At 49.2% G+C, this 13,048-nt stretch overlaps 1 long non-coding RNA gene across 1 annotated transcript; it reads left to right on the forward strand.

Annotated features, from left to right (window-relative positions):
- Positions 1–1,282: 1,282 nt before the first annotated feature.
- On the forward strand, positions 1,283–10,379 carry LINC00570 (long intergenic non-protein coding RNA 570). Its single transcript, NR_047499.1, has 3 exons — positions 1,283–1,473; positions 7,674–7,759; positions 9,327–10,379. It is a non-coding gene; the product is annotated as a long intergenic non-protein coding RNA 570 (long non-coding RNA).
- The last annotated feature ends 2,669 nt before the right edge of the window (positions 10,380–13,048 follow it).

Genomic DNA, 13,048 nt, shown 5'->3' on the forward strand with positions numbered 1-13,048 from the left:
CACAAGGAAATCAGACCTGCCGAGTTCAGGTCCCAACTCTGTGACATGCTGCTGTGTGACTTGTACCAGTTTGATCTCCCCTAGCCTTAGTTTATTCAGAAGAAAAAGTGGGTTAATAATTAGGCCAGGCGCAGTGGCTCATGCCTGTAATCCCAGCACTTTGGGAGGCTGAGGTGGGCAGATCACGAGGTCAGGAGTTCGAGACCAGCCTGGCCAACATGGCGAAACCCTGTCTCTACCAAAAAATACAAAAATTAGCTGGGTGTGCTGGTGGGTTCCTGTAATCCCAGCTACACAGGAGGCTGAGGCAGGAGAATCACTTAAACCCGAGAGGCGGAGGCTGCAGTGAGCCAAGATCACGCCACTGCACTCCAGCCTGGGTGACAGAGCAAGACTCCATTCCAGAAAATAAATAAATAAATAAATAAACAAATTAGCCGGGCATGGTGGTGTGTGCCTGTAGTCCCAGCTACTTGGGAGGCTGAGGCAGGAGAATCACTTGAACCCAGGAGGCGGAGGTTGCAGTGAGCCAAGATCCCGCAACTGCACTTCAGCCTGGGTGACAGAGACTCTGTCTCAAAAAAAACCAAAATTGTGTCTTTCTCTTAAGGTTCTTATGGTGATTGAGATACACTGTGCAAGGCTTTTTAACACAATGCCCAGAACATGGCAACACTCAATAAATACTAGCAAATATCACCACCATTATTTCCATCATTTCACTGAAGACATTTTAACAACAGAAAAATATATATCTTGGCCAAAATGATAGTTTAAATTGCATGCATTGAGCTTTTGGAAGTGTCACTCATTGATTCTCTGTTTCTTCAGGGTGGACCTAAGAATCCCTGGATTCAGTGATCTTGGGATTCTTTCTGCTCTAAGACGCAACGCTTTTGGGGTTGTTAACAGCCTTGATTAGCAAAGGAATGTTCATGGCCCATGGCTAAAGATAAGTGATAAATCAGGTGCCCTTAGTGGCCATCCTGAACTTGGATTAGACTCCGACTCTGCACAGAGACCTTTCATGCAGGGCTGGACTATTTCAGGAAATCAGAACCACAGATATGTAATCCTTCCCTACTCTCCTCCTTGTCTCTGTTGGTGACGTCAGGCTTCAGCTACACTAGCCGTTAACTGAGGTCCGAGGGTCCTGGCCTGGGATCCGGAGCCCCTAACTGCCTGTTCTGCCTTCCTGCAAAAGCTGGTTGTTTGGGCCAGTTGGTTTTTGGTTTCTGTGCGGCCACTCCCACCCCCACCCCAGCTCCCTGACCACGGGCTGCGGAAGAGTGGGACGTTATGGAACCTTCTCAGCTTATTCAGAGAGGCTTCTTCTTCCTATTTAGTCTCCCTCTGGCTTTCCCTGCTGGGATCTGGGTGGTAGAAGCAGCAGGGGGATCAACGAACAGGCTGAGCGCCAAGAAGCCTGAAGATTCCAGAATCTAGCGGGAAAAGCATTCAGAGTCAGAATGAGTAAGCAACTTCATCTCCTGGCCTTTACTTTTCTGTAAAACAGAGGCAATTCTATCTCCCTCATGGATGTGATAAAATAATACTTTGACTAGTAATAATAATATTCATTCAGGAGTGGATCTGGGTGTTGTGGGGCCTGAAGCTTATTCAGTGTGGAGGGTCCTTTTTAAGAAAGAAGAATACAAATTTACAAACACATCAAATATAAAAGGGGATATTTACTTAGGAGAAAAAAATCACAACAAATTACAATTAAAAAGAAAAACTGGGCCAGGCACAGTGGCTCATGCCTATAATCCCAACACTTCAGGAGGTGGAGACGGGCAGATCACTTGAGTCCAGGAATTCCAGACCAGCCTGGGCAACGTGGTGAAACTCCACCTCTATAAAAAATGCAAAAATTAGCCAGGCGTGGTAGCACACGCCTGTAGTCCCAGCTACTCAGGAGGCTGAGGTGCGAGGATCACCTGAGCTTGAGAGGTTGAGGCTGCAGTGAGCTGTGATCACGCCACTGTGCTCCAGCCTGAGTAACAGAGTGAGATCCTGTCTCAAGAAAAAAGAAAAAAGAAAAACTGAACAAATACTACAAATATCACAAAATCTAGAAAAATAATGTACTACATTTTATTAATTGTCTTCTATGCTTCTAATACCTTTTTCCTACATTTTTTGGCTGCATGCATTTTAGTAGCTTCTTCCTATGGCAATGGTTTTGTGGTAGTATTTTCTGTTTCTATAAAGAGATTATAAAGTTAATTCAGTCTTTTCCTTAGCACAGTTGGTCAAAATTTGTTTTTTATTATTGATGGCTTCAACTAGGTATCAATGACAAGCAAATTCTCTGCTTGCAATTGCCATTACATATTCATGATTGGAAGCATTTCCTTCAACCTTGCCCTGCCTTGCTTCATCCCCACAAACCCATCCTTTTACAGCCAGAATGCATTTGTTTCAGTGTGACTTTGAGCACTGCACTTTCTGTCATGATGCCTGGTGAGTGGGCACCACAGGCCTCAGGAGGATTTCTAGAAACCACTCTTCCACCAGGATGGCTAGCAACAAGCTGATGAAAGTGATTTTGAAATGCATCAGTATATCCCATTTACCCAAATAAATGAATCTCCAGGCCAGGCCTACTCCTAACAAATGCATAGCCCAGGACGAGACTAGAAAGGAGGTCCCCTTTTCATATGTTTAAAATAAATTCCTGAAAGTCATCAATCACGCTAACAAACCGTTAAATACACTGTGTCCCATCCTTCTACCCTGACAATTTGAAAGGCCAGATTCAAATTTAGAATTCTCAGAATCCTGGGTTCCATCGGGAATGTGTTGTGTGGGGAAAGCTGGCCCTGCCCCCTGGCTGGCTGCCGGTTCTCCTTCTCCAGGAGGAAGCACTTTGCAGCCTGAGGGCTGTGGCACGTGTGTGGATAGCCCAGGCTCATGGCTAAGATCGACCATTCCCGTGTACACAGCATTTTGGCAGCCCCTCAGGCCTGGGGTTGCACACCAGTGTGAGCCGGCCTTTGGGAGGACGTGGGCAGCGGTCCTGACGGGCCCTGGTAGCATGACTGATGTTGGCAAGGGTCTCTGGGCCTGGAGTATCAATCCAGGTCTTCTGATAAGCAGATCCAGGAATGGAATTGGGGATGCAAGAGGGTTCCTGAGGAGAGACATTTTTGAAAGATAAAAAGTGACAGAGGAGGGTTGGTTGGGGAAGGCTTCAGATCACAATGCTGATCTGAAATGTGTCGAGGGCAAAAATGGGCAGGGAGAGCCCCACACTGTCCTGGAGATCATTTACAATGTGGTCAACCCGATGGGCAGTTCTGGTGCAGACTGCCCATCAGAGGGGTCCTGCTTTGGGCATAGAAAGCTCCCAGCATGCTCACTGCTGGCCGGGCCGCCCAGGAGGGGCTGTAGTGAATTGTGAAGGGGCTTCAGCTGGATGCTGCCAGCTAACTACTCTCCTTGCCGCTGACCAGCAAGTTCCTTCTGGAAGGGAGATCTGAGCCACACTCCTCCCTGACTGCCACGGTGCACAATAGCCAGATTGGCTTTAGTAAGTGGGAGTTCATGCTGCTGGGCCCATATGTCATCTCTGCTTCTGCCAGTTCATAGCTCATGGCATATGCTAGCTGACATCCGTGGCTGAGCTATTTTGCCTACTTGGCTATTTCGTGCCCCTTTCGTGACTAACGCTTTCAGGTAGTTGATATATAATGCAAAGATCACCATTCTTTATGTCAATTTCCATATATCCATGAACTGCCTCTCCCCCAGACCTCCTGGTCTCTGATCATTCATTCTTCTAGGCTGGCCCCTGACCAGTCTGCCAAGTCAGGTGATAAGGTGAACTCTTGCCACTGCCATGAGTTCAGATTTTTTTCACCTTTGGCAAAGATTCCTTCCACACAAAGTGCATGACCAGGGACAATGCTGGAATCCCCCTGATCAGAAGGGTTTCCCCTGGCCACTGTCTTTAGCACTCTGTCCCTGAGTGTCGCTGTAAGGCAGCTGCTCTCCAGTTTCTGCTTGTTTCCGCACACAGCACCCAGCCAAACCATCTGCAAATTAAATTCAGGCCCTTTCTCCACTCTCAGCCGGGTATAGAAGGCACCCCCGCCCACTCCCACCGACGGGATGGCCATGGGGGTGTGCTGAGGGAGGGGTGATGGTGCAGCTGTGGCAGATGACATGGGGTCTGGGACACCTGCTCATACAACTTCCTTGTGCTCCCTCACCCCCAGCTCAGGCTTCATCCCAGGTGAACCTTTTCCATCACTCTGTGAGAGCCCAGATCATGCTGGGTATTTCTAGATGCATTCACTTAGATCCCCTGGGCAACTCTCCCATTCCCATCAGGGCTCAATAACACACCGAGAGCTGCTTTTCGAAAAGCATGTATTCTCTGCTGCAGATGGCATGGCCTTGCTCCGGGCCCCCAGGAGCCTGTGTTGTGATGCTCCCATGGCGGCTTGTCATTAGCTCTACACTGCATCCTCCTCCACCATTGACACCTCCAGCACCGCAGGGACTGCTGGATCAAATGGCCCAAGCGGCAGGGCTGCCTGCACCACAGCCTGAACCTGCTGCAGGCCCCACTCTGCTCTTGGCCACTCAGAGCTGGCAGCCTTCCATGTCACTTACCAGATGGTCTGGAATAGCCTTCGTTAAGTGTGGAGTGTATTGCCTCTAGAACCCAAGAGGCGTATCAGGCATCGTGCCTCCTTCTTTGCAATAGGGGTTATAAAATGCAGCAATTTGTCTTTTACTTTGGAGAGGATGCCCTGGCATGCCCCTGATCACTTCATCCCTAAAAACTTTATTGATATGCCAGTCTCTGAATCTTCATAGAGTTTCTTCCCCACCCTCAAGAGCACATGTACTTTACCAAGTCCTCTACAGGCCAGCTACTTCTTTCTCATCCTGCCAAATTAGAAAGATGTCATCAATTTCATGGATCAATATGATGCTCTGTGGGATGCCCAAACAATCCAGATCTCTCTAGACTATGTTAAGACAGAAAGCAAGTGAGTGAGTCAAAGAGCCCTGGGGCAAAACTGTAAATATGTGTTGTCTGTTCCATGTGAATGCAGAATATTTCTGATTCTCTTTTCTGATCAGGATAAAAAAGAATGCACTCATTAAATCAATGGCCGTAGTAATCTGCTCTGGCAAAGATACTACATTGGTCGTGGTAACTGGGGCTATTACTATTTGGGTTTGTGGTGGTCCACAGTTCTCCGGGTTCCCTCTGGTTCCTGCAGGGGCCAGTTTGGTCAACTAAATAGAAATACGGGGGAGACCTCCAGCCATGCCTCCTTGAGTTCCATAAGGGTGGCATTAATCTCTAGCAGCCCCCAGGATGCGATATTGTTTGTATTTTCCTCTCTTGGCTGAGGTTCAGGGTGGGAGTAGTATCAAGAGTTTTCACTTGGCTTTCCCCAGTATGACAGCTTTTACTCTACAGGCCAAAAACCCAATGTGCGAGTTTTTCCAATGCCAATTATACGTTCAGGGACTGAGAAAATGACCTTAGGATGGATCCACGGAGCCAGTGGACCCACTCTCAGCTGGACTTCAGCCAGCACTCGCTTTCTTCCCTGGCTTTTTGCACGGCCCTACTCTAAGAGATGGGCTAGGAGGAGTCTTCGGATCTCTGGATGTCAATGTCAATTCAGATCTTCAGATAGTCCTTCAAATAGCTGAGCAACCCTCTTTCCCCAGCAAAAAGTCACTCTAGTAAATGGTCATAGGTCCTGTTGTTTATCTGAAATCTCTACTTTAAAAACTGTCATGTCACAGGATTCTTTCTCCTGGGTACCCAGCCACCTCTTCAGTCAATAGTTCTCCGTTCTGGAAACCGACTCCAGTCAGGGGCTGTGTCTCATGCCTGTAATCCCAGCTACTCGGCAGGCTGAGTTGGGAGACTCGTTTGAGCCCAGGAGATCGAAACCAACCTGGGCAATGTAGTGAGAGCCCGTCTCAAAAAAAACAAATAAATAAAATGACATTGAGTAAACTAAAAAGTCATATTTTTCAAAAAGCTAACTCCAGTCCAGTTTATATATACACACGTAAATACACACACACACACACACACACACACAGCAGTCCACGTATGGGCCGCCCCTCACTAGCATTGCTGTATTCTGTCAACATCTCCTTCACTCTGGAAGTCAAGCCCTGTTGGCTGCCACTCCAGCCTTGCCAGTTGTTACAATGGGTGTGACCTTCTGGCTCCCGGCGATTAAGCACTTACCATGTGCCTCTCCTGCTTCAGGGCACCACGCCAGCCTATAAGCAGCCGCAGGGGTTGAGCCCTGCAGAGCCCCAGAGGCAGAGCTGCCCAAGGCTTTGGGAGCCCACCTCTTGCATCACTGTGCCCTGGATGTGAGACGTGGAATCAAGGAGATTATTTTGGAGCTTTAAGACGTAATGGCACCCTGCTGGGTTTCAGACTTGAGTGGAGCCTGCAGCCTTTCTTTCGGCCGGTTTCTCCCTTTTGGAACGGGAGTATTTACCCAATGCCTGTACCCCCATGGTACGTTGGAAGTAACTAATTGTTTTTGATTTTACAGGTTCATAGGTGGAAGGGACTAACTAGCCTTGTCTCAGATGAGACTTTGGACTGTGGACTTTTGAGCTAATGCTGGAATGAGTTAAGACTTTGGGGAAGGAACAGTTGAGAAGGCATGATTGGATTTTGCAATGTGAGAAGGACATGAGATTTGGGAGCGGCCGGGGTGGAATGATACCGTTTGGATCTGTATGGATCTGTGTCTCCATCCACATCTCATGTCAAACTGTAATCCTCAATGTTGGCGGAGGAGCCTGGTGGGAGGCGATTGGATCATGGGGGCAGGTTCTCATGAATGCGTTAGCACCGTCTCCCCAGTGCGGCTCTCATGATAGAGTTCTCACAAGATCTGGTTGTCTAAAAGTGTGTAGCACCTCCTCCCCCTCTCTCTCTCTTCCTCCTGCTCTGGCATGTAAGACGTGCCCGTGTCCCCTTCCTCCACCACAAGATTGTAAGTTTTCTGGAGCCTCCCCAGAAGCTGAGAAGAAGCTGCTATGCTTCCTGTTCAGCCTGCAGAACCGTGAGCCAATTAAACCTCTTTTCTTTATAAATTACCCAGTCTCAGGTAGTTCTTTATAGAAGTATGAGAATGAACTAATAAACCTGGTCTTAAGCCCCACCCTGATCAACACCCTCCCTGCCTGGACCCCCCTTAGCGCCCACTGGTCTATGGCAGTCCACTCTTGCAGCACCTTTGGGGGCTCTTGCTTTCCTCCCTTATCAAGCCTAGCCTGTCCCCAGCTGGGTTATGCTGCCATTTAATCCTACTTATTGGCTTTGCAGCCAGGAAAGGAGATGGGGGCAGATCCTGAGGGGGGCCCTGCTATCGTGTAGGGGAGAGACCTCTACAGGGTGGGGAAAGGGCTGACTCTTGAGAGAAGTGGCAATCCCTGCCAGCACTGAGGGCTCAGAGGGGTCTTGGGAACCAAAGTCATCAGGGGCATCCGCCACCTGGGTCTTCCCATCAGAGCAATTTCCCAAGTCAGCATCACTGAAAGCATAGCAATTGGGTTGCTGTGTCATCCTAGGCACCCCTCTGTGCCTCCCAGACCACCTGGGATGGAGCCCTCATGCTAGCTGATCAAGGTGCCACGCCCTCTCTTTATTGTTTTCTCAGGCCACTTCCAGCATCGATGGTGTCAGGTCAGGTCCTCTGGGTAGAAGAAATGGAGTCAGTTAGGAGTGCTGGAGACTGAGTAAGAGGTAAGCCTTGTTAACGTGATAGGAGGATGAAGCAGGATTGGGCAGAAAAAGACTTCATATCCCAATGCCAATCTGAACCTGTGAAAGGAACTAGAGAAGGAGCAGAGTAAGCAGGTAGAGGCTCAGAGTGAGATGCCATCTGATGAAACCTGGTCCAACCCAATAGGGAGCTATAGTGAAAGACTGCCCATGAGAAGGCTCTCCCACTGGCAGAGCTGGCCAGCCACTAGGATTCCTGCTGTGGTCCCTCTTTAGCTGAAGGCTGCCTGGTGGAAGTGTGGCCTTGACTCAGACAGTGTGGCAGATCCTGATGCTGTTCTAGCTGGAGGTCTCAGCTAACTGCAGCCCTTGCTGCTGACAGCATGCTCTTCTTTTTTTTTTTCCTGTGGTTTTTTTTTTTTTTTTTTTTTTTTTTTTTGAGACAGAGTCTCTCTCTGTTGCCAGGCTGGAGTGCAGTGGCGCAATCTCGACTCACTGCAACCTCTGCCTCCCGGCTTCAAGTGATTCTCCTGCCTCAGCCTCCCAAGTAGCTGGGACTGCAGGTGTGCACCACCAGGCCCAGGTAATTTTTGTATTTTTAGTAGAGATGGGGTTTCACCATGTTGGCCAGGCTGGTCTCGATCTCTTGACCTTATGATCTGCCCACCTCAGCCTCCCAGAGTGCTGGGATTACAGGCGTGAGACACTGCACCCAGTCCCTCATGCTCTTCTTCAAGGAAGCTCTGAGAGGCAGATTCCCATGGCTGCCGCACCTGAGGAGTAGCCTGGAAGAGGGTGAAGCTCCCTTTGGCCCTGTAGACTCCTTGCCCTTAGGGTAGAAATGCAGCTAGAGAAGGACAAGAGAGGAGCTTCTGAAAGTAGAGGGTGTGCACTGCCCTAGTCCAGGCTGAGGATGTTACTGTGTAGACCCAGTTCGACTTCCCTTCGGCTAAAGCCCCAAAGAGCCGCATCACCACCCAATACAAGCAGATGTGTGGTGGAAACGAAGTCTGAGTGGGAGATGTGGGCTTCAGGAATTGTTAAAATATTATATCTTGATTTTTGCATATTTTTTAAAAACATGCTGCGCCGGGCACGGTGGCTCACGCCTGTAATCCCAGTACTTTGGGAGGCCCAGGCGGGCGGATCACGAGGTCAGGAGATCGAGACCATCCTAGCTAACACGGTGAAACCCTGTCTCTACTAAAAATACAAAAAATTAGCCGGGCGTGGTGGTGGGTGCCTGTAGTCCCAGCTACTCAGGAGGCTGAGGCAGGAGAATGGCATGAACCCGGGAGGCAGAGCTTGCAGTGAGCCGAGATTGTGCCACTCCACTCCAGCCTGGGAAACAGAGTGAGACTCTGTCTCAAAAAAAAAAAAAAAAAAAAAAAACCCAAAACAACAATAACAACAAAAAAAACCATGTTAATCTATTGCTTGAGTCCTCCCAAGGTTGGGGAAGCAGCTCTTCCAAGGGAGGCCTGAAATTTAAGCTGCATTATCTTCGTGATGATTCCATTTCTGCATTAACTATTGCTATGGTTTTCATATTGGGTAGTTCCTGTAATTTGAGATCCTTCTTTTTCAGGTGGCAGCTGAGGCTTACTACCCCAGGAAAGGGATGCCACCAGAGAAGGCAGACAACCAAGATGGCGACTCTCAATTTTTGAGCTCCTAATTTTCTCATGTCAGACATAAGAAAAAAAAATATTTTTTAAAGAAAAAGCTTTAGGTTGCAAAAATCTAGGCCTTTCAACTTTAAAATCCTATTCTTGCAAGCCTTGGAGAATAAAGCTTATGCATAAACAGTAGATTTGGAAACAGAAATATGCCTAATTACCCAGAGCCATTCTTTCAATACGCCAGTGATTGTTTAAAGATTCTATAGGCTGGAGTCAATGGCAGGAGGCGGGTGGGAAAAGAGTCAAGAGGGAGGAGAGAAGAAGCAAGAGGGTTGGGTAGATATTGTCACATGACCCTGAGAGGAGGATTCTGGGTCAAACCCCTAGGGGGTTGTGTGTAATGGAGACTCCAGATCCATTTGGGAATCTGGCTCCAAAGAAGACTTCACCTTGCCTTCTGAGTGGAGCCCTGAAGTGGCAAGACTCATAGAATTCCCCCACGGGTCCACACAAGAGAGAATGAATAGAGAAGGCTGCGTGCTGGCTGGACCAAGGCAGCCTCGGGTGACACCACCACCACCACCGCCGCTGCCGCCATCGCCATCACCACTGCCGCTGCCATCACCGCCACCACCACCACCATCACCACCACCATCACCACATTATGGACAATAGCCCAATGTTTCCTGAGTTCCCTAGAGGGTTGAAAGAGAATAGGACCTAGAGAGATCACATAGTTGGGACAGGCACTCATTAATTTGATCCAATGACAAGAGACCAGATGGGAAGAAGGATGCCTTGAGAGATGTCAGTGTGCACCCATGGATAGAAGCAGCTGGTGACTGGGTACTTGGGAAGCCACATGGACACACACAAAGCTCCTGGAAGACGTTTTCAAGGAGTTGGGCTGTGCTGGGATCCAGAACTGGCTGAAGAAACCATGAGCTGACATAAAATTTCTGCCACCTAGCAGAATGGAGGCTCCATTTGGAAATTAAATTATATACTTAAAAAAACTATAATTGCTTCATTTCTTTTTTTTGAGATGGAGTTTCACTCTTGTTGCCCAGGCTGTAGTGCAATGGCACCATCTCAGCTCACTGCAAACTCCGCTCCCGGGTTCAAGAGGTGATCCTGCCTCAGCCTCCCGAGTAGCTAGGATTACAGGTGTGCGGCCACCATGCCCCGCTAATTTTGTATTTTCAGTAGAGACGGGGTTTTACCATGTTGGTCAAGCTGGTCTCAAACTCCTGACCTCAAATGATCCACCCACTTTGGCCTCCCAAAGTGCCAGGATTACAGGCATGAGCCACTGCGTGAAGCCAAATGCTTCATTTCTTTTTTTCTTTTTTTTTGTTGAGAGGGAGTCTCACTCTGCCGCCCAGGCTGGAGTGCAGTGCCGCAATCTCGGCTCACTGCAAGCTCCCGCGTTCACGCCATTCTCCTGCCTCAGCCTCCCGAGTAGCTGGGACTACGGGCGCCCGCCACCACGCCTAGCTAATTTTGTTTTGTACTTTTAGTAGAGCCGGGGTTTCACCGTGTTAGCCAGGACGGTCTCGATCTCCTGACCTCGTGATCCGCCCGCCTGGGCCTCCCAAAGTGCTGGGATTACAGGCGTGAGCCACCGCGCCCGGCCTGCTTCATTCCTTATACATCTGAGTTGGCCATCTGAGATTTTGTTTCTACTACACAGCACTACGGCAAGGATTACGCGAAACCACCTAGTCCCTAGTATGGTTCCTGCCATGTAATCAGGACACAGCAGATCGCAGCTGGGTATTTTCCATTTTCCTCCGGATCTGCTCTGCACCCTTCTCCACTGGCCCTCAGCTGTGGGAAGCTGACCTCATGGACTGCAGGCAATGCGCGTAATTGCCCTATGGGAGGCACCAACAGGAAATGGGAGGGGCTGGGAGGGAAGAGCTATGAGGTATTCACTCTGTGGGTCTGGCAATGGCTGTGTTTCTCTCAGCTCCTGCCTGGTGGCCCCCTCCTACCGGCAAATCTCTCACTGAGGTTCTGCCCGCTCTCTCTGCTCCTCCAGGCGTCGGGGTGGCAGGGCATTCCTGCTCTTGCTGGCCTCAGATGCTTCCCTTCTTGTGTACCCTTAACCTGTGCCCACTTCTGTAAATAGTCCCTTCATTACACTCTTAGGAACTACCTCTTTGGAGAATGCCACTGTTTCCTGCGGGGACCCTAGATGATACAACTGTTATTAGTATTACCTTTAGTTTGAGATCACATCTGATTCTCTGTGTGATCCTGTGGAGTCGGTGACCCTTTCTGAGCCTCAGTTTCTTCATTTCTTAAATGTGAATCCAATACCCCCAGCTTTCGCTTTCCTACTTCAGAGGGATATTGTGGGAATTAAACGAGTCAATACAGGTGACAATACTCTGGGAAAAAAATACAATTGTGACCCTATTATTAGAATTATTAAAAGTAACAATAGTAGTAAGATTGTTCCTGCCCAGAGATCTCTTCTGATCCCCCTCTCTTCACTCCAGCACAATAGCAGTGACTCAGTCTTTGGTCCTTGGCAAAGCCACTGTCCTTTTCTGCAAAGTCTTATGCTGCGGAAAGATGAAACTTTGTGATCAGATACAGCACACAATTCTCAGAGCTGCTGCCACCATTTGACAAATGCCACGGGGTTCTAGGCTGTGCTGCAGCCCCTCAGAGCAGACCCAGGCCTGCCCTTGCAACCTCTGGGCTCTGTTTGCTGCTCACAGAAGACTGCTGAGAACCAGCCTGTGGCCCTGGCTGAAGCCACTGAGCATCCAGGATCCCTCCCACCTGAGTAGCAGGTGGATAAGGCCTAGCTTAGTGAGAGCTGGTGTGGACTCAGGTTGCTCCAAGCTCCTGGCAGGAAGAAAATTGCTAGTGGGGCATGCATGGCCGGTGAGCTGGGATAGCCCCAGAGCGGAGAGCGAGGACAGCAGCCCTGCTGGGGGCAGTTTCACTTTGCTGTGCCTATTTTAAAACAAGAGCATGTCCCTTGAGAGCTTCTCCTGCCTCTCCTTCCAGCCACTTAATCCATCCGGTGTTTCCACGATCTCCTCTTCCCAATCCAACCCGCCACCAGGCCTGTCAAGGGACACCTGGAGTAGCAAATCTCATTGGTGGCCTCTGCGTGATCAAGATCTTGCCCGGTGTGGTGGCTCACACCTGTAATCCCAGCACCCTGGGAGGCCAAGGCGGGCAGATCACCTGAGGTCAGGAGTTCAAGACCAGCCTGGCTAACATGGTGAAACCTCGTTTCTACTAAAAATACAAAAATTAGCTGGGCGTGGTGGCATGTGCCTGTAATCCCAGCTACTTGGCAGGAGAATTGTTTGAACCTGGAAGCTGGGGGTTGCAGTGAGCGGAGATTGTGCCACTGCACTCCAGGCCTGGGCAACAGAGCGAGACTGTCTCCAAAAAAAAAAAAAGTTAAAAAAGAGATATGTGGGCCCCCAGTTGTTTAAAATCAGGAGTCAGTACCCCTGGAGCTGCAGAAAGAACTCTCCTGAATCAGTTTAGGACTATGTTCTGTCGCATGATGCAGAACGGTGCCTACAGTGGGTTCTTTGAACAGCTTTCTCTTTTCTTATTTCTTGCCCCACTTTCTGCTTGTAAAAAGGCCTAGAGGTAAGCAGCCCTGGACTGTTGCAGCTACTCAAGAAGGTGTGGCCTTTGCTTCCTGGCA

This window comes from Homo sapiens, chromosome 2 (genome assembly GCF_000001405.40).
Source record: "Homo sapiens chromosome 2, GRCh38.p14 Primary Assembly".
Taxonomy (NCBI): Eukaryota; Metazoa; Chordata; class Mammalia; order Primates; family Hominidae; genus Homo; species Homo sapiens.